The following is a 22,500-nucleotide window of genomic DNA, read 5'->3' as shown; positions in this document are numbered from 1 at the left end:
ACTACATATTTGGGTATTTGAATATTTGAATCTGTTGTGCTTTTTCCAGGAAATTCTGAATTTTAGGATAGTCTACAGGTACCATAAATTGAGAAGTCCAAACAATTCATTATCTTCCTTGAAGCCCAAACCTGCCATTTTTCTCAGATAGGAAAGCCACCAAACATAGGGAGCATGCCTGCCACTTCCCTCTGGCCCGTCTCTGGCTCATCCGCCACAGAGACCTATTTATTACATCCCCTGAGTATTCTTCTAATTCCCCCTCCTTTCCATCCCCACTCTTTCAGCCACACTTCAGGACCATGGTCTGTGCATCGCTTAGTCTCATCCTAATTTATCCGCAGCTCCACCCACTCCAACCTCCTCTCCCCTCTCTAAGACAACCTTTACTTCCCCACCTATGCCTGTTCCAATTTACTGTCTCTGAACCCCACATATGCCCTTTTCTGCCCTACATTATGATAACTGGAGCTGGACCTAATTTCTTTCGTTAGCGGGCACAATGTTAGACCTTGTCAGTAGAGGGCGCTAGAGGGACACTGCACAAGGAAGGGGCTTCTCTTCTGGTTCCAGCTCTGTTCTTAGAAAACAATGAGCTGTCTCCTTGCCAACCAGCAGCTCCCTTGGTAGGGGCATGCAGAAGACCTGATGACACAAACCCTCCAAAGAGTTTCACCCTCACCACAACAGGTGGCTTCCTGCTCGGCAGCCCATCCTGCATCACTTCAGTGGACTTCTCTGACATCTACTAGACCACATTAAATGAATCACAGCCTTGAAACTGAACTGGAAGGACTTCCTTCAAGGTTATACTTTCTTTGAATACTGTCTTTCAGCCCTATGCCTAGTGACTGCTCCCTGCGTCTTACCCCAGTTTTCTTGAGAATTCCCTTTATACTTCTTAGTAGATAATACCCTTTAATTAGTTCCTTATTTTTATGTGGTATTAAGTTTTCCCTGTCCAAACTATTAGTCATGTCTCACTTAATGATGGGGATATGTTCTGAGAAATGTGTTGTTAGGCAATTTCATCATTGTGTGAACATCATGGCATGTACTTACACAAACCTAGATGATAGTATAGCCTATTACAACCCTAGGCCATATGGCATAGTCTATTGCTTCTAGGCTACAAACCTGTACAGAATGTTACTGTACTGAATGTGGTAGGTAATTGTAACACAATGGTATTTGTATATACAAACATACCTAAACATAGAAAAGGTACAGTAAAAACAGTGTTGTAATCTATGGGACCACCATCATATAGGCAGTCTGTGTTGGACAGAAATGTCATTATGCGGCTCATGACTATACTATTGTGATTTCTGTCTCCTGACCAAACCCTGACTGCTTTACCACTTTTGTTCTTTCTTTATTTTCTTTCTTTTTTTTTCTTTTTTACAAGGTCTCACTCTGTTGCCCAGGCTGGAGTGCAATGGTGTGATCTCGGCTCACTGCAACCTCCGCCTCCTGGGTTCAAGCGATTCTCCTGCCTCAGCCTCCTAAGTAACTGGGATTACAGGAGCCCACCACCATGCCCAGCTAATTTTCGTATTTTTAGTAGAGACGGGGTTTCACCATGTTAGGCAGGCTGGCCTCGAACTCGTGACCTCAGGTGATCTGCCCATCTCAAAAGTCTAGTTGGGAATGGTAATCACACAGTTTGGCTATCTCCTCAGGTCAGATTACTCAAATAAGGATTAAACTGCTGCTTATCTTTATGCTTGGCAGCATGGTACCTAGCCACGTGGTACCAAGAGTGACTCAGACATGCCTTACCCTCTCTGTGTTACACAGCTCACCTCCAGCTAGAGCTGTTGAACTGTAACACAGAAGCACCCATTTCTCTGCTCACAAAGTGTCATGGTACCCAGGGGCAAAACTAACTCAGACACAATAGTACTCAAGTGTTCTCCATCATTCCAGCTCAATCCAAAGACCCTCAACACATTCCCTGAAATGAGAGATGAAGTGCACTGACAGAATTCAAGGCATGTTTGAGACAAACTTTTCTCCTTGCTTAAGTCTTCTCGGCAATGGTTGGCTCTACCATTTTAAAAGACCTGCAATTGTGTGCAATGAAAGTAGTTCCAGGCTGCTGTATCTTGCTCCCTTTCCCACAGACATCACCAGAAGCCCAATTCATCACATTCTTAACAGCACTCTTCAGATTTATCTGTCAGGGCAAAGGATCCAGATTAAAAATGAAACAACCATTTCACTTGCTTGACAAGGGGAGACCCAGTCTGCCAAATTTCCGTCCCTATCACTGGAGAACAGGACTTTAGGAAATAAATAATAAATGCTTTCTGACCTAGGGCCACCTAGCCTGGAATACTTAGGGGCGTCTTATCTTAGTGCAACAATTATTCCAGTTAATAGGTTAAGGGATATATATAAGATTACCCGTAATCCTTTCACACTGTTGTTCAGGGCTTATTTGAGATGCAGGGCACACATATTTAAGGATTAGCTCCTTCTCTCCGTACTCATACCCTTAGAGTGATATTACTTCCTGCTATCTTCTCTTGTGGAATAGAAATGAAGAATAGTTACACTAGGGGAGTTATTACAATCAGGCTCTTTTATATCTTTAAGGCAATTACAGGCAAAGACAAGAGTGCCTAATGCACAGCATTTCCAGAATTTGTAATTTTGGCATCTCATCTTGCCAAGCCTTGATAACATCCAGATGTTGCCCTATTGAAAGGTGTTAAATAGAATAAACCTCAAGCCAAGAGTACTTCCATGTTATATTTTGGAGACTTCCAAAATGTAAAACATTTTCTCTTTGAAATATCAGAACTTCGGTAGTTTAAGCAATAATGTTCTAGTCTGCATAATGTTTTAATGTCTAATAATAACAATAACAGCAGTAACACTTTGTTTCTCCATTTAAAAAGACTTATATAGTGTTGACTATGTGCTTTTCAAATATTAACTTATTTAATTTTCTATGTGCTCTCTCCTGGTACAACAATCTGCTCCACAAATTTCTCCAGATTTTTATCTAATTCCTGTTGGACAGTGTAAAATGCCACTTCTTCCAGGGTTGCCTGCATATCATCAAAAGGGAAATAGTACTCATCGAAGATGTGCCTTTGCTAGGAACTAGGACAAGGGTGGCCTTTATAAATTCATGAAGAGAAGGTATTGTGTTCATTCACAGACTTTGTGTAGGAATTAGGGAGAAAAATGTAAACCCTAAAGTTAATACTCCATGGGCACATTCTGGGCACAAGTTACCTTGGAGACATTTTGAGGTGGCAGGGCTTTTCCTAGAGTGGACCACCTGTGCTATAAAGGATCTGCCTAATATACTCATTCAGCAAGTCCCCAGTGAATGCCCGTAATGTCTGTGTGACATTACATATCTGCAGGCACATGCAGGAAAAGCAGCAGCCCCTGCATTCAGTACTGTTACGGTCTCACAAACATGGGCCTTGGATGGGCTGGGGGCTGGCAGAATTGTAGGCACAGTGTGTTAAGGGGGCACACAGAACCCAGCATTTGGGCATCTAGAAGCCTTCCCAAGGGCTAAGGAGACACCTGAAAAATGAGAAAGAGTTACAGAGCCAGGCCCTTAAGTTGGCCCTGCCAACCACTCTCCAAAACCCTTAGATTTTTGCTGCCTTTGCCCTTGACACTGTCCTTTCCCTGGAGCTGAATGTCTGGGGGTAGAGGAATGACTTTAAAAGTCGAGGATCAGGCCTGGCATGGTGGCTCATGCCTGTAATCCCAGCACTTTGGGAGGTCAAGGCGGGTGGATCACCTGAGGTCAGGAGTTCGAGACCAGGCTGACCAACATGGTGAGACCCCGTCTCTACTGAAAATACAAAAATTAGCTGGGCGTGGTGGAAGCCACCTGTAATCCAAGCTACTCTGGAGGCTGAGGCAGGAGAATCGCTTGAACCCGGGAAGCAGGGGTTGTAGTGAGCCAAGATCACGCCACCACACTCCAGCCTGGGTGACAGGGCCAGACTCCGAGTGTTCCAAAACAAGAAAAAAAAAAAGTCTAGGATCAGATGTATCTCCTTAGATCTGTCCTGTTCTAGAATCTTTTTAATAATGAGGCAAGCATTCTCAATAGTTTCTAATCCCAAAAAAGTTCTTTATGGCATTTCCCAACTTTTCCCTTCTAGGAGCCAGCATATGAACTTGCTGCCTATCTTTAGCAAGGAGATGCAAATGACATCCACAAACCTCTTCTGCTGTATACCTGGATGAAAGCAAGGCTAGCTGTGTGTCCTGTGAGTAAGAAGGAAAGATGCTTACCTTAGATCCACCCATAATCTTCCCCTACTCCTACACCTCCAGTTGAGAAAGCTGTACTCATTCTGAACATCAGCTCATCCTAGGGGAATCACAGCTTTCTCCACAGATACAGAACAAGGTGAAGAGCCCTAGGCTGTTCTATTCCCTGGACCAAAGATGAAACTGGGGTGAGGTACCTCTGGGTCACTGTTAAGAAGTAAAATGTAGAGGCTCTTCATTGCAGTAGTATCTTAAGAATTCCAAAATCAGGCTACCACCTCTAAACCAGGCAAGAGGACAATGAGACAAAGTGATAAGCCTGAAGGGTTAGGAACCATGAGGAGCTTATGTCAGGGAGATTCTGAGAGAAGGAAGGGAGGAGAGACCCAAAGAAACTTCATGGAGCTAATGAACAAGCACCCACAGAGGATTTATATACAATATCTGCAACCAAGAGAGGGGTATGCTAATTTAGAGGAAACCAGAAGGTAGCCAACACCTTCATTTCACAGCTGGCAGAAGGAAGAAAAAAATGCTTACTTAATTGTTGCTAAGAATTGGTCTCTGCAGAAACGCTTCAGAGCAGAACACCCAGAAACACACTGCCATGCTTGTTCATAATGTATGATAGCTGCCACCACTCACCCCCAAAACCACGCTTTCCAAGCTACGCAGATCCACTGAGATCCACACTTTATATGTCCTCACAACAATCCCACACCCAGTGTGTTCGGGATGAGGGCCAGGAGAAAAGCATCCCATTTTTCACCCAAAAAGGAGGCATGAAATTAAATGTAACTCCAAGAGATTTTGTGAGCACATATTATTTGGGGACACAAACATGAGAAAGACATGGCCTTCTCTTCCTGAAAGAGTTCATAGAGTCCAAAGTAAAAGACAAATTGATTTTAAAAAGTAATTGCAAAACAATTCAGGCCCTCATGCATGCATGCATTTAACAAACATGCCCTGGTCACAGTTTGGAAGTAAAAGTATATGCAAAGTGGTATATGAGTACAGAGATGCTACCACTTTACCAAGAACACAAAACAAATAGGAAGAAACCTGACCATTTAAGATAAGAAAGGATTCTAATGAGTGTTTGCCCACTGTCCTTAGAAAGTCCTTATATCAAGGTAAAAAGAAGAGAAGTGACATTTACTCAGCACTTTCCTCATACAATCTCTGGAAGGTCCATGAAGACTGTGAGCTCTTTGAGGGCAAGAACCATGTCCTACTTACCCCAGGATCCCTGCCCTTCATCAGTACCTGGTACATAATAGTTAATAAATATGTTTTAGACTGAACTGACCTGAGGATTTTCTAAGTCTTGTTTTTCTAACTTTATAGATGGCACCAAGGACTGAAAGATTGTAAGAAGTAAGAGTAAGTAAATTTTTAGCTGCTATATTCCCTAATAGCTAGACTTTAAAAGTATTTTTAACTCTTTTCCTCTATTCTTGCTAGGTGAACAAGGCTAAAACCTGGGTTTAGTTTTCATTTTATAAATTATTCTTTAAAAATAAATTATTTCAACTGTCTTGAAGAGTCTGTAAAACAAGGTCTGTGAAGTCACAGAGGGAAAAAGAATCAGAAATCAGTAGACAGCAGTTAGACCACGGGTGTTTGTTATACATTCGTTCTAGACATTCATCAAAAGCTCAGAAAGGGAAAGTCAAGCGTGCCAAATCAATAAAGTTTCTATCGTATTTCATCTCTTTGGATTTGCAGAATGCTTTGGTAATTCTGTTTCTCAAGCCTGCACATCACGAGCAAACAAGTATGCTTATGGGTGTCTTAGCCCAGTAGGCTGTTTATCAGAAAGCTACCAGTCCCCTGTGAGAAGCTGGCTTTCCTCCAAAATGTAGAAGGTGTTTAAGGGGACATATTTCTTTGGTACACCCTAAAGCAAGCTTGTCCAATGTGCAGCCTGCAGGCCGCATGTGGCTCAGGACAGCTTTGAATGTAGCCCAACATAAATTCATAAACTTTCTTAAAACATTGTGATTTTTTTGTGTGTTTTTCTTTGTTTGTTGCTAATCATCTATTGTTAGTGTTAGTGTATTTTATGTGTGGCCCAAGACAATTCTTCTTCTTCCAGTGTGGCCCAGGGAAGCCAAAAGATTGGACACCCCTACCCTAATGGCTAAGGAAAGTTTAAATCCTGTCCCCACCTACCTCAGGTCCATGTTGCTCTCTAGCTGAGTCAGCTCATAGAGCTCACTGTGGGCTATGCCTTGGTGGTGACAGTGTCAACAATGGACAACACCAAGAGAGGTAACTTTAAGTATCACACAGATCCTGCTGTAGCCTTGGGAGCAACACTCCATCAGAAGAGAAATCAGCACTTAAGGCCCAAACTGAGCTTCTCAATGACGACCAAAAGTATTTGAATGTGCTGCCCCAGTAACACTGGCTGACCCTGGGGAGCTAGCTGCCTTGATTCATTAATAGCTGTTCCTGAGTCTTGCCAGTTAATTCAAGACACTCTCCAGAGACATGCTCCATCACTCTTTATTTGGCTTCAAGGATTTTTTTTCTTTTTTTTTTTTTTTTTGAGATGGGAGTTTCACTTTGTTGCCCTGGCTGGAGTGCAATGGCGCGATCTCGGCTCACTGCAACCTCCGCCTTCTGAGTTCAATTGATTCTTCTGCCTCAGCCTCCCAAGTAGCTGGGACTACAGGCACATGTCACCATGCCTGGCTAATTTTTGTATTTTTAGTAGGGATGGGGTTTCATCATGTTGGCCAGGGTGGTCTTGAACTCCTGACCTCAGCTGATCCACCTGCCTGGGCCTCCCAAAGTGCTGGGATTACAGGCGTGAGATACCACGCCTGGTTGGCTTCAAGGATCTTGATTGCAACCCAGAGACTTAGAATTTAAGAGGAGAGGAGAAGGGAGGAGGGAGAGAGAGAAAGCAAAGAAGGATGCCGGGATGAGGTGGTGCTCAGGGAGAGGAAACGGATGGACCTACTAAGGAGGATGGACAGACACAGAAAAACACAGGCACAAAGAAAGGCATAAGGAGAGAGGAAAACAAGGCAAAGACAAAATAGAGAGACGGAGAGAAGGAGAGGCTGAGTGAAAATGACATTTTTCAAAGCAGGGCTCATTATTCTCCTTTCAGACACGTTAGTTACAGTTCTCTAATATCACTGACGTAGCTTGCCTCATATTCTAAGGGCTGACAATGGTTATTTCCTGAAGGCCCTGCTGAGTGGAGTGGAGGCGTGGGTTAGGTCAGGAGAGGAACTGAAAGGGGAGAGGAGCTGCTTTTCAGTTTGGTGACTGATTTCCAGGAAGGGAGGCTGTTATGCAGGGAGAAAGATGGACGGCCCCTCCTCATGGAGGCAGCACACATTTAGAGCTGACTGTGAAGAAGAATTGTCTGATAAAATGTTTGAGAGAAATAATTTGAGGGTAATGGAGAGAAAATAAAGGCTTATATCCATATTATCATGCCGGCGCTCACTAATTAAGTCCTTTTTTTCAATTTCCCTCATTCTTGTTTGTGCCTCTATTTTTGGCATAGGAAAAAAAATAAAGGCTCACCATGTTTTCAGCAAAAAGAGAAAAATAAAGATGAGTGATTTCCATACTATATTATTACATCACAAAAATTTAAATTTGGTGTTATAAATTTTTTTATTTACTGAATACACTGTCAATTTGAAGAACAACTGTTTGGTTCTCTCTACTTTATCAAGTGTGAGTTTAATTAATCACAATGGAATCCTATTCAAACTATTTTCCAACCCAAGAGGCAATTGTTTCCTAGAGCAGGCTGTTTCCTTCTAACTAAGGACAGCACTAAACCGGAGAAAACATTAAAACCCTGATGCGCATCATAATGAACTCCACGCAAAGTAGTTATATTAATGTAATGGAGTCGAGATCTTAATTGCACTGGTGTTTATATTTGCAACCTCCTTTTTTAAAGCCTTTTTATTTTACTAAATGATTTGAACAACGAGGTAGGAGAGGTTACATGGCCTGCTAAATAGAGATGGGTTTCATCGCACTAAAGGAGGAAAAATGAATCTGGGAGGGAAGACTAGCTAATTTAATTTTGTAAAGTAGGTTTTATTCTCAGTTGATAATGGCTAAAATTGCTCTGTGAAAGCAATCTTTCCAGAGCCAGAAAATGTTCCCTGGACGCTTAAAACAAAGCATGTCCAAGAGCCATTTTTGTTCCTCCCTATGACAACCATTAGCTGCCACTGAAAAACCTCCAGCCTGAGTGCTGAATCCTTAAAAAGCAATTTAGGCGATGCATCCTCTGGCCTCTGATTTGAAAGAGCTGATATGTGGTAAGATAATTTCCAGCCGAATTTTAAGATAGGAGAGATTGCGCAATAGGGGTATAAGGGAAATTTCCTATAAAGTGGTCATTTAATTAAGAGTTATTGTTTGATGAATGAATGAGTGAATGAATGAATCTGTCAGGGCTTTTAGTCCAAAAATGGTGACTCTCTCCTCTCTACTCTTTTTTTCTGTCCCTGCCTATCAGACACAGACTAGAACAAAATATATTTGTTTCCTCATTAAAACTCATTAATGTAGAGACTGGACAAATATTATACGATTTTTCCATAGCTCAGCCAGGAAATCAGAGGGAGAAGATGGCAGTGTTCACTAAATCACATATGCCCTCATGAGAAACTTCTCTCAGGTCTCAGGATTTAGAGTGGTTGCTGTTTCCCAGAGAAATGAGTTATTTTGTTACATAGATACTAATAATTATATAAACTGATCTTGTACCCTCTGTTTGTGCTGCTGGGAAGCTCAAAAAAAGTTCTGCAGCCATCTCTAGTGCTGGGCTACTCAAGACAGGCAGGAGATACACTAACCCCATCCCTCACTTGATCCCACTACCTTTTTTTTTTTAATTTGATTTTCAAATCTTATTTTTTATGTGATTGTATTTGTGGGGTAAAAGTGCAATTTTGCTACATTGATACATTGAATTATGATGAAGTCAGAGCCTTCAGTGTCTGCAACACTACAGCAATGCACACTGTACCCACCAAACAACTTCCCATCATCCAGCCCCTTCCCACCTCACCCCCACTCCTCCAAGCCTCCACTGTCCATCATTCCACACTCCACGTCCATAGGTACACATTATTTAGTTCCCACAGGTAAGTGAGAACACATGGTATTTGTTTTTCTGTGTCTGACTGGTTTCACTTAAGATAATGGCCTCCAATTCTGTCCATGTTGCTGCAAAAGACAGGATTTCATTCTTTTTTATGGCTGAGCAGTATCCACTGCCACCACCTTTTTTAAAACCTCAGCTAGTTTGTTTTTTGATAGTTTGTACAATGTAGATTTTGAAACACTATCTCAGATTTTTCTCTAAGGGGAGAAAAAAAGAAGGGAAGGAAGGTAAAGAGATAAAAAGACATAGAGTTGAGTTACATTCATGGCTTTCCTGTTGAACACCAGGCACTGTGTACTAGCTGTTGGTGAGTGAATAGTCTAATGAAGGAGGCAAAGGAAATTATAAAGTACAGAGTAGTACCATGCAACTGTGAATAAAGTACCATGGGATGCCGTACAGAGGAACATCAACTCTAGCAAGGGGGATTCTATTACTACTATTACCAAGAATTTAACATTGCACTAGGTCTCAAAGGCGAGAAGGAATTTGTCTGGTAATGAAGGGAGGAAAGGGCATCTCAAGCAAAGGAAACAGTATATGCAAAAGTGCAAAGGCATGAACGGTATGTTGTTTCCAAGACACAATGAGAGGCTTGGTTTGGCAAAGTTTCGTACGCTTGGGGGTGGAGAGAGAGAGTAGAGGGCCAGAGCTTGAAGAATGAGAAGGTCAGAGTCAGATTTGAGAAGCCCAGAATGACAACATATGGAGTTCAGAGATTGATCCCAGGCAATGGGAAACCAACAGAGTTTCAAAGAAAAAACAGTTACATGGTCAACTTTACTTTTTCAAAAGAAGTATACTTGAATTGGGATGAAGAGGGACTGGAGAGGAAGACTGGTAGAGATGCTGGAGTTCAGTGAGAAATGTTGAGGAAGAGGATGAGAATAAAACAGAAATACAATAGAAATAGTCCTCCTCTGCTGGAATGGTAGGGTTCACTAACTGATTAGAGACACGACCAGGGATAATGCTGTATAACTTGGGAGATGGGGGATGTGACTGAGGCTGGTAACCAAAATCTAGACTACAAGAGGAAGAAGGCAGCAGGGACGGAGGAATGCTAAGTGTAAAGTGCCTTCAGGACACCCAGGGAGATGACAGAGAACTAAAAATATCGATCTGGAGCTTGGGCAAGGTATTAAGCCAAGGGAATTAGATTTGACATTTTCCAGCACACATATAGTACCTAAAAAGTGATAAAGAAGATCAGATCAATCAGAACATAAGTATGTACAATACAGCAGAAGAAAATATGGGGCCCTGAAATTGGGGATTATTTTTAATCAAGGGAGTTAAACTGATTCTCCTTTTCTGGAGGTTTTAAATATAAGCTAGGTTTTCACCTACCTCGGGTACTTTAGGATAGTTATTCTTTCAGGCAGAAGTATCAGCCAGGTAATCTTTCAAATGAGTTCAAGTAACTCTCCCAGGAAGGGCACTAAGCTTGTTAAAAGAGCAGCCAACTAGACTCCTTAAGTTTTGTTGAAAAAGCACCATGCCATAACATTAGCAAGAGGGCACCTCTCAGCGCTTGGGAAAGAACAGGCAATATCCCCCAGGGGACCCACGTCGTGTTTGGAAGAGGCAGCAGAGGTAGGAAACTGGGCTGTGTTCCAGTATAAAGTGGTGTCTTAAGGCTATTTAAAATACACTGGAAGCTATGTGTGTTGCTTTGAAAAAAACAGAGGAGTGTCAAGAAAAAGTGGTAAAGAATTGTGCTGATGTATAAACAAAGAAGATGGAAATTACCAGCCAGTTTTCAATATAGGTAAATGATATCAGGGACCAGGATGCTGCAGTGTTGAAAGAATTAATAACAAAGAGAGTGAGATGGAAGGGAGAAGGGCAAGGAAAAGAAATGTCCTTGCAAGGAAACAAAAGAGAAGAGCAGAGGAGAAAGCACCCAGCAGGAGCCAAAACTGCTGGTCAGAGAGTGGGGGCAGAGGCCAGAGTCACAGAAATCCCAAAGATAAAGACAGAGGGACCAGAGAATGTTGATGGAGGGGATAGCAAGGACACACAGGATTTCTTAGGGTTAAGGTAGAGAGGTTAACAGTTGAAGAGAAAATGAAGGTCGTTGCTGAATCAATACAAGTTTGCCCTGATGAACAGACTTGAAGTAAGAAGTCCTGAGCTCATATATAACCAATATCTCACAATATGACCTTATTTGGAAATAAGGGCCCTGTAGGTGTAACCAATTTAACTCTAGGATGAAACCAAATCCAACATAACTACTATCCTCATAAAAAGGAGAAATTTGGACACAAATACACACAGACATAACATAATGTGAAAACACAAGAATAACACCATGGAAAGACAGAGACACAAGGAACACTAAAGATCGAAGGTCACCACTAGAAGCTGGAAGAGGCAAGAAGTTATTCTCCTTTAAAGACTTCAGAAGGAGCATAGCCCAGTCTACACTGTGATTTTGGACTTCGTCTCCACAACCATGAAATAATAAATTTCTGTTATTTTCAGCCACCCAGGTTTTGGTACTTTGTGATCACAGCCCTGGGAAACAAACATAACAGGAAGAGAACTAGAGGGAGGTGGGAATCCACAGAGCATGCTGAAACCTGCCATCAACAGTTTCCACCACAGCAACTCTAGATCTTAAAATCCTACACACTGGCATTACTCAGGATTCTTTTGATTGCAGTTAGTAATCTGCTGACAATCTGGGGTCTGCAGGATGAGAGTGTGCGAGGTGGAAAGAACAAGAAGGCAAAATGACAAGGCAAGTCCACGGTAGGACAGAGGTTAGGTCTGCAAAGGGCAATTCTCTTTTTATTGAGATGGAGTCTCACTCTGTCCCCCAGGCTGGAGTGCAATGGCACCATCTCGGCTCACTGCAACATCCGCCTCCTGGGTTCAAGTGATTCTCCTGCCTCGGCCTCCAGAGTAGCTGGGATTACAGGCGCCTGCCACCACACCCAGCTAATTTTTGTATTTTTAGTAGAGATGAGGTTTCACCAGGTTGGCCAGGCTGGTCTTGAACTCCTGACCTCAGGTGATCCACCCACCTAGACCTCCCAAAGTGCTGGGATTACAGGCATGAGCCACCGCGCACAGCCGAGCCACTTCACCCAGACTTCAAAGGGCAATTCTCAATGAAACAGAAATTCATTCTCTTTGTCCAGCTGACAGAGAAGCAGCAACATAGGTCAAGGACGAACAAGACAAATATGGAATATGGTGCCATAAGCATTCTTTAAAAAACAAACAAACAAAACCATGGCATTCACATTATTCTGGCAGAAAAACTCAAAATAGAAACATTTATGTCATGTGTACTTACCGAGTTGCTAATAAGTCAGAGAATCAGGAAACTGAGCAACGTAAAGAAATAAACATACACAACAGAGAGATATTTGAAAACTCAATAAGGAAAAGTTTAAATTTTTACATTCTTTGAGAATGAGTTTATCCATCAGAAGGGAAGGAGGATAGGGATCTAATTTACGGAGTGCCACTTGGTGCCAGGCCCTTCATAAGCATGGAACACAGGTACCACTTGGTCCCCTCACTAACTCTGTATTACGAGGGAGGAAACTGAGACTCAGGAAAGCGAAGCATTTAAACTCTAAAATGCCTGAGTTCAAATTCATGCTGTGTTCCCCTCACCATGTGGGTTTAGGAGGATACAAATTAGAATTAAACTTCTCAGGAACCTAAAAAGTCAGCAAGAGAAATGGACTCAGATATGTTAAAAGGAGACCACGAGGGGATCATCCCAGCAATCCCAGCAGCCTGTCCCACTTGGAGCCTGGAGCCCAGCTTAAGCACTTGCTCAGCTCTCGCTCTCTTGCTGTCTCTCCCCTCTCTCTCTCTCTCTCTGTCTCTCAGGAGCTGCCAGCTCTCCACTGTGCCAGTGCACAGCTGGGGGACTTCCAGGGGGAATCTGGACTCCACTGGAGACAATTTTATCTCTGCATTGTCCCACTGCAGAGATAAAAGCCCGAAGACCCGGCTCCACTCCCTGAAGACCTCCAGCCCCGCCCCCAGCCAGGTGTATGCTCCCCCACATCCTGAAGTAGCTCATTGCAATCAGGGCCTGAATAGTAAAACAGAAATTAAATTGACACTTTGAAGCATTAATCTAAGCACAAATTAATATTCATCAACATCTGCTATTTGTTCAGGTGAATATTCAGCTTAAACAAAAAATAGCCTTTCTACCCAGAGACAGCGTGTACCAAAGAAAATGGCGTCCGCGTGCAGGCCGTCTGCGCGCAGCAGTGGGAAGAGGCGGGCTCCCTGAGGAGACAACATCCCTGACAGACCTCCCAACAAAGCCCTGCATATTTTTCAGTAAATCATGTATATTTGGTCACTGTTTTCTTTCTGACTCTCAAGACATCACCGTTCCTTCTCAAGAGGGAGGGAAAAGGAAACTGGGTGATGTTTATTCCGTCTCGGTGCTTGGCAACTGGCCTGCCCCTGTTGTCTGCCATGTGATCATCATTATCTGGGCAGGAGAAATTTCTTTGCTGGAAAATTACCAGCTAAATTTCAAAATGTGCGTGGAGAGAAGTTTGCAGGGGGACTAGATGGGATAGTGGAACCGTACGGGTAGCTCCACATGGATGGAAAATGAAGCAATTACACAGTAAAACTCTGTACTGTTAACAGCCAAGGGGGGTGTTTGATGGTGTAACACAGAGAATATCATTGAGTCAATAACATCTTTAGAGCAAGGGAGTATTTTTTTAGGTCATAACCAAGCTAGCAGTTGTTCTCTTCCTGCCAAAAAGCTAGAAAAACTTCTGAAAGCCCTCTTGCGATTCCAGGCCGGGGCAGATCTGAGAGATATTTAGAAACATAATCTGTTCCCTGGGTAAAACGATGGCTTCAAAGAGCACTTTGGAGAATGTATCTCTTTACGTTTCAACATTTCTCCTCTCCCTATCCCAGATAGTTGAAACACAGGCACTAAAATGGTAGAAATATAGTTAAGACAATAAACAAATTTAAAAACTACAGGTTCTGCATACTTTGGGGGGGAAATGCCTTCCAGTGACTAGTGGGAATTGCATGAATTTGGCAACCTGCCTATTCCTGTGTTGAGTAATGATGGAGGGATGTTGCAGAATTGTACATGTCACGAATGGGAGGAAAGTGTGCTCATTAAGAGCAAGAACTGCAAAGTTAGATCCTGAGGTCATATTCCAGCCATCCTACTTACTACCTATGTGATCTTGGGCAACTTACTTACCCTCTCTGTGCCTGGCTTTCTTTATCTGTAGAATGTGGATGTTGTGATGATTAAATGAGCATTTGAAACAGTATTTGCCACCTTATAAGTATCATATAACTGTCAGCTATTGTTATAAACTTAGTAATGAAAATTTTGTAATAGTAGTACAGAAAATTGTATAGAAATGAAAATTGTGTAGTAATGAAAATTGCCAGAAAGTCCCTGGCAATTCTATTAATAGAGACTGATATTACTAAAGGTGTAGAGTGAATGACCCAAAGTTGGAACTGGTCAACCCATTAAATTCATTCTACTTGTGGGAGAGAAGGGAGGAAAGAGACTGATGGTAAGTAAATTAATGAATATAGGAATAAGAATAATATAAATAGGAATAAGAGCAATGCAGAGAATGAAAGAGGTTAATGTGACAGAGGCTAGAGATCCACCTTAAGCTGAGCAGCCAGGGATGTCTCTCTGAGGAAGTGACATTGAAGTGGAGACCTGTATGAGAAAACCCAGCTATCTCTATATAAACAGGGGAAAGTGATCCAAAAAGGTGGAACACCTAATGTACAGCCCCAAGGAAGGAGCATACTTGGAGAATTCAAGGAACAGAAAGAAAAACAGGAAGGCTGGAGTGAAACTGATTAAATAAAGCATCGTAACATTAGAGGTGAGAAAAGCAGGCTACACATGTGGGGCTCTGCAAAACAATGAGATATTGGATTTCATTCTAAAATGTAGCAAAAGCTATTGGAAGTTTTAAGAAGGGGTGTGATATGATTTAAGGAGGGGTGATTTATGATTTTAAAAGATCACGCTGGGGCCATGTGGTAGGCAGCTTCTGACATGGCCCTCAGTGATTCCCACCTTCTGGTATGCACACTCTTGTATGAACCCCTCCCCTTGAGAGTGGGCCAGACTGAGGGACTTGCTTCTAACAGAACATGGCAGTAGTGATGGGATGTCACTTCCATGATTAGGTTACAAAACGCTATGACTTGCCAGTCCTCCTTCTCTTTCCCTCTCCCTCACCTTAATGAAGCCAACTGCCATGTTGTAAGCTGCCTGAGGGAGAGTCCCACCTGACAAGGGAACCGCAGGAGGATTCCAGCCAACAGTCCATGAGGAAGCTGGGCTCTTGGTAAAACTGAATCCTGCCAACAATCACATGGGTGAGCTAAGAGGCAGCTCCCTCCCAGTCAAGCTTTGAGATCATTGCCAGAGAACCCAGATAAGCTGTACCCAGACTTCTTACCCACAGTAACTGTGAGATAATCAATATTACTGTTTTGAGTTACTGCATTTGGGGGTAATTTGCTACACAGTAATAAATAACTAATATAGGCTACTGTGTAGAAAATGGAATTTTAGAGAGCCAGAGTGAAAGAAAGAAAACTGGTTCAGTGGATATGACAGTAGATGAGAAGAGAGATTATGATAACTTGGATTAGGACAGAAGCAGATGAGATGGAAAGAACGGGACAGATTCTAGGTATACTTTGATGATTTTAGGGGTAAAAGGCAGAAATAAGACTAACAGTTTTGACTTGAAAAACTAGATGTATACAGAAATGGGGGAGAGAGAAGAAATAAGCTCAAGGGACAAAGGTTAATGTTGAGCTTTCTGTTTTAGTCATATTGCATTTCAGATAATGCTTACTAAATACCCATATGGAGAGATCAAGTAAACATGTGGATAATTGGATTTAAGAGTCTGGAGTTCAGGGAAGAGATCAGGGCTGGAAAGTGGGTTTGGAACTCATAAGCTTTTATAGGCGGTACTTAAAGTCATGCTACAGCATGAGCCCCCTTAGGGAATGTATCAGTTCTGTTGCTGCATAACAAGCCACCCCAAAATTTAGTGACCTAAAGCAACCATTTTGCTATGCTCATGGTGGGTCAAAACTTTGGCAGAACACAACAGGGAAGGTTTGTCTCTGCTCCGTGATGCCTGAGTCCTCAGCTGGAGCACTACACATGGCCCCCTGAAAGGCTTGGGCTTCCTGTCACTGTGACCACCTCAGTGCCGGAAGCTCAGGATTCCTAAGACTAATGTCCCAAGGAACCCGGTGGACACTTCATGGTCTTTTAGGACCTAGCCCTTGGTGTTACAAATTATCTCTCCTGCTGCATTCTAATGATTACAAATGAATTACTATGTTCAACCCAAATTCAAGGGGAGAAGACATAGATCTCACCTCTGGATGAGAGGAGTGTCAAGGAGTTTGCACACATGTTTTAAAGCCACCACATAGAGTCAACACAAACAGAGAAGAAAAGAGAATTCTAAGGGGAGCCCTGGGGCATGTCAACATTTAGATGTTGAGGAGAAGATGAATAATTAGCAAACGAGACTGATAGGAATGTCAGTGAGGTAGGAAGGAAACCACTGGGTGAATATGAGGTCATGGCAGCCAGCAGGAGAATCTATTTCCAGAAAGTAGGAGTTGCCATTGTGCTAAATGCTTCTGAAAAAGTTAAATAGGTTAGAGACAGAGAAGATTGGGGTTTGGTGACTGAGAGTTGCTGGTCGCCTTGACAGAAGCAATCTCCATGAGGTTGCTGGAATGGAAGCCAGCTTAGATTGGGTTGAAGAGACTGTTAGGAAAGGAAAGAGGCATCAACCACAGCTGGCAGCTATACATGGACTTGTTTAAATAAGTCACTTGCAAGACTCCAGTAAATCAGAAGATCACAGAATCTGTGATGTAGGTCATCTGGTGCATACATTTGAGCATTTCTGATGTTAGGGAGCTCACTACGTTTACAGTAGCCCATTTTGTCGTTGTTAGAAAAGTTATTCCTTCCATAGAACTCATTTCTAGAATGCATTTATCTTTGCCTGAAACAGCACACAACCAGTCTACCCTGGGTGTCAATGTGCCTCTTCAGGCTCTTTCCTGTAGATGAAGCATCTGCAGTGCCTCCGGTATCTGGGCACTTCCTGTCTAGTTTTCATTGCCCTCCTCTGAATGTGCTCAAATGTGTTCCTGTCACTTCCACAGTGTGGCATTCAAAACCAAACTTAACACCCTGGATGTAGTTGGAAGATGCCACACTCTGGTCCAACCATTATCCCTAAGGCTGTTTCAGGATTTTGTCAGATTGCTGTCACACATAGTGGAAACCAAGAGCCCCCAGCTGTCATTCACATTGAGCCTTAATCATCATTATTGTGACTGATGAATGTTCAATACTATTTGATGCAATAGTCTCAACGAATTGTTCTTCCATAGCAAAGCTAGATGTTGACAAGTCCAGGTACACTGAAGAAGAAGCTGGAAAGACGTCTTCAGCCTTACCTCCCATACATTGTTGCTGTGGCCTTTTTCTTTGCACTAAATAAGGTGAAACACAAAGGAATAGGAAATGGCTCCTGAGGCTGCTGGTGACCCAGGTCTGCCTCTAGCCGAACAGGAGCCTCCGAAGAAGTGGAATGGGGGTTGTGCATAAGTGGAACCAGGGAAATCCTAGACCTGTGCCACAATTTACTAGCTAGCATACCCTCTAGGGCTTTTTCCTCTCTCCTTCCTAGATACATAAACCTTGTAAAAAATCAAATCAAAATTCTCTTTCTAAAAGAGAAATTTGAGCTAGCTTTTTAAATTCTCTTTCTCGCGGTTTTTCTATGAAACTGTTTAAAAGTATTTCTAAATCACTTAAGTGAATATTTCTATCTCCAGATTTTATATATATATATTACTTAAGAAAAGGTTAGGAAAGCTTACCTGGAACTAGAGAGAAAAAAATCCTGGAGATTAACATAAGAAAACTTTGAGCTTATTCTAACAGCTGTGTCAGTGTGGCACTAGTATATGCACACACACACAAACACACACACACACACACCTGCAGGGAGGTGAGAAGAAAACCCACTGTGCCAGACTACTCCAAAAACCATTGCTTTGTTCTCTACTGGTCTCTGCCGGCATGGTGATTCTGGGCAAAGCAGGTGGCTAAAGTGTTCTGAATAATTTGGAGCAGGAGAGTCTCATTACCCTCGTCATGACTTGCCCACCTTTTCTCCCTTCCCTTGAGAGCTTAAAAGACTCTCTTTGGATAGGAAGAAATAAAATATAAAAATTTACTAGTAAAATATTCTTTTTCAGAGTCTTTGTTCCAGCTGTTCTGGTCGGGAGCTAATAGATCAGTTGAGGATTAAAGGATATGCTTTAGAGCCTTCTCCACCCCTATCAAATTCTCTCCAAAATTCAGAAGGCCAGAAGGATAGAGATTGGACTCTGAATAAATTGCGCATTTTTATCTCTTTAGTATCTTGGCACATGTGATATAAGCATAATAATTATTATGAGCTCTCTGTGATGCCAGTCCTTCCTCATGATATAGACGAAGTGGTCAAACCAAGGTTTTTGAAGTCAGACAGTCAGGAAAGCTATTCCAGGCACTTTCACATACTAGATTTGAGACTTTGGGAAAGACTCATAAACTTTTTGAACCTTAGTTTTTTTCTTTAAAATAGAAATAAAAATGCCTCCTATAGGTACATTCCTGAGGATTTCAGTGAGATAACTTCATAGAGCATTTTTTAAAATATCATTTATAATGCCATTTTATTTTTTGACATCAGAAAATATTTATTACTGGTTTAAAAAGACAGATAACTTTTAGAATGCAATAAGTGCAGTGCATAGCAAATGGATTATGTATTAAAACTGAATATTTAATTACAGCACAAGTTCAAGAAATTTCCCCATAACTTAGAGTGTAAGAGATAAAGGTGATAAAGTATTAAATAAATGAGAAACACAGGGGGAATGATCCAGAAGATCTAGTACTTATGTGTAACAAGAATTCCAGAAAGAGAGATCAAAGTATTCAAAAGATCAATAATCAAAGAAATAAAGTCATTCCTGGACTAAAAAAGACAAGAGTCTTCAGTTTGAAAGGGTTCACCAAGTATCATACAATGAATACATCGATACACACATCAAGACATATCTTGTTTGCATTCCTTAAAATTCAGGTATTAGGGGAGAAAATCCCATAAGCATCCAGGTTTTTTTTTTTAACATCACAGTGCTTTGTATATAACAAGTAGTCCATAAATTTTAGTTTCTTTGCATTTCTCTCCTTTTAATTCATCCTGCTTGAGTAGAATATCTAATCCACCAAAACCTTTCTTTGATCATGTCATTCCACTCATTGCATCCTGAGGTCACTTCTCACTGTACGAAGGATAAAACTCAAATCTTAGCATTGCCCATCTCACCCTAACTTACCTTTCTAAGCCATATCTTTCCCAACTGCCAAAAATGAAGCCTCAGTTCCCGCTAGCAGCATGACTTGCAGTGCCCGGGTTATCTCGTTTCTTGTTCATTTCTGTGCTCTGGTTTGCTTACAGCCTTGTCTCCTCTGGGCTATTCAATTTTCACCCCCCTGCCAATTAAAATCTTGCAAAGCCGTTAAGAACAAGCTCAAATACTTTGCCTTGAAGGCCCCAAGATGGGATCACTCTTTTCTTCCTAAAACATGCTTTAGGACTAATTGTATTTTTCATAAACTCCTTGACAGATGCTATCTCTTATTGTTTATATACGTATCAGAGGCACATGTCAAAAGATACGATTTCTATCTGTTGGCTGTTTATTTCCCAAACTAGATGGAACTCCTTAGCAGCAGCAACTACATCTTGTTATCTTATATCTCTAGCATCTGACACAGTGCCAGATACCAAACAGGTGCTCCATAAATAATCACTCAAAAGGTTTATCCAATAAGCTATCACCCTATACCTAAAAAGTTCAATTGCAAGATGTTTTGCTTAAAAAGTGGTTACACATTCAAATCTTACAGCTGCCAGGCATTTAACGTAAGTGGCTGACACAGCCTATGTCAAAGAGAAACAGGGAATGTGGGGACTGTGGCATTTCAGAACAGGGCATCCTACCTCTAGATGGCTGTAGGAATGTGGTCCCAGTATCATCAAGTCATTGATATTTCAAGAGAAGCCAGAAACTCATATTTTTGTGTGCAATATCTCCTGATTCTTAACCATTAGAAAATAAGGCAATCATCTGTTTGTTGAAATATTGTGCAGGTCCATCATAGAGGCCAAGCCAAATACAACTATGTTTTCAAGCATAAGATGGATAGATGTGGTAAACCACAAGAAGCAAACAGCCCTTTAGAGGTGTGGATTGACCTTGCAGAGTTACAAGTGGAGCCAGGAGAAATCATGTTGAGTGGGACTTCTCATCCTACCTAAGAGAGACTAACAGATGGAAAGCTGGGTACAGAAGGGAGAGAAGGCAGTAACAGTCAGATTTCAATACGCTGAGACTGTGACGTGGGACTTTTGAGTGAGTAACATCTGCTCCTAGAACTGAGTTGAGTGGGGATCCTCCCACACCACCCAGGCAAGAGAACTAACAATTGATGACTGCTCCAAATCAGTCGCCAGTCTACCTAATACTTCTACCTGGTAGGTAGCCTGATACCCACTAACATCAGGTAGGTTCTATATGATTAATAGTTCATAAGATAAATATTAATCATTAGCAATTTTCAAAGCTGAGGTACAGCTACTTCAAAAATGAAGAAGGAATGCAGATGAAGAGTCTCCAGACTCTTCAAGAGACTCTCTGCAAGCAAAGTCTCCAGAGTTCTGAGGGAAAGAAGCAAACAAAGAATCACAGCCATTCTTTGAGGGAGCAACCTACTCATTAAAGAAATGCAATCATGATTATGCTGATCAAATGAAAATCTCAAAAATAGAGAGGCCATGGGAAAAGGGCTAGTTATGAGCACTGAATTCATTTACATATAAAACAAGGCAAAATAATTGTCATAATACTTTGTAATGGTTATAAACACCAAATAAATGTTATATAGAGGTGAATCGCATAAAAATAGTAATATAGCAGTTTTCCCAGTTTTTCTTAATATTTAATAAATACTGCCTACACTTGGTGCATGAAGTTAAAGAGTATAATGACACCAATCTTTTAATATTCTTTTATACCTTATTTTTTAAACTTTAGAAAATATTTTGGGAATTAATGTTTCTTGTACTTAAAATGAATAATTTGCTTTATTTCACTTTTTAGGATTTTTTAAATTAAGTACAGTTAATTTTTTTATTTTAAATTGTGTTACAGAATATTCCAAATTCAGTTTTTCTGTATTTTTTTTCCTGTCTTTATTTCTATAGAGAGAGATACATAGGATGATATTGCCCTTTGTTAATGATAGTTATTTTTGTATAGTGGGATACGGAGTGACTTTTTTGCTTTCTTCTTTGTACCTTTCTTTGCTGCTTGACTTCTTTATAATGAGCTATATTGTTTTCATAAGTTCAGTAGAGTTATTCTTTATGAAAATATATATAGTAATTGAAAGAAGCTTAATATTTGGCATCTCTAATTTTTAAAAAGTAGTAAACACATATTATGCACCTCTTATGTCTTCTTTTTCCTTAAACCTTTCTACCTACTGACTTTCTTTCTTTTCTTAAAGACAGAGCCTCACTCTGTCACCCAGGCTGGAGTGCTAGAGTGCAGTGGCATGATCATAGCTCCCTGAAGCCTTGAGCTCCTGGTCCCAAGAGATCCTCTTGCCTCAGGTAGATCCTCTTGCCTCCCAAGTAGCTGAGACTACAAGTGTGTGCCACCATACCTGGCTAATTTTTTTTTAAGAGATGGGGTCTCGCTATGTTGCCCAGGCTGGTCTTAAACTCCTGGCCTCAGGCAATCTTCCTGCCTCAGCCTCCCAAAGTGCTGGGATTACAGGCATAAGCCACCAAACCTGGTGCTACCTACTGAATTCCAAGCTCTGTGATCCTAGAGGGTAAACATTAAGCTATGTTAAAACTGTAAGGGGCCCTCAGAAAAGCCACCTACCTTCTCACATT

At 41.5% G+C, this 22,500-nt stretch overlaps 1 long non-coding RNA gene across 1 annotated transcript; it reads left to right on the top strand.

The window, feature by feature from the left end:
• Positions 1 to 609: 609 nt before the first annotated feature.
• LINC01065 (long intergenic non-protein coding RNA 1065) lies at positions 610 to 20,764 on the top strand. Its single transcript, NR_125788.1, has 5 exons — positions 610 to 806; positions 3,006 to 3,153; positions 4,146 to 4,253; positions 5,608 to 5,643; positions 20,689 to 20,764. It is a non-coding gene; the product is annotated as a long intergenic non-protein coding RNA 1065 (long non-coding RNA).
• The last annotated feature ends 1,736 nt before the right edge of the window (positions 20,765 to 22,500 follow it).

Source organism: Homo sapiens, chromosome 13 (assembly GCF_000001405.40).
Source record: "Homo sapiens chromosome 13, GRCh38.p14 Primary Assembly".
In the NCBI taxonomy this organism is placed as follows: Eukaryota; Metazoa; Chordata; class Mammalia; order Primates; family Hominidae; genus Homo; species Homo sapiens.
The sequence above is the reverse complement of the archived record's forward strand: the minus strand, read 5'-3'. Positions and strand labels throughout refer to the sequence as shown.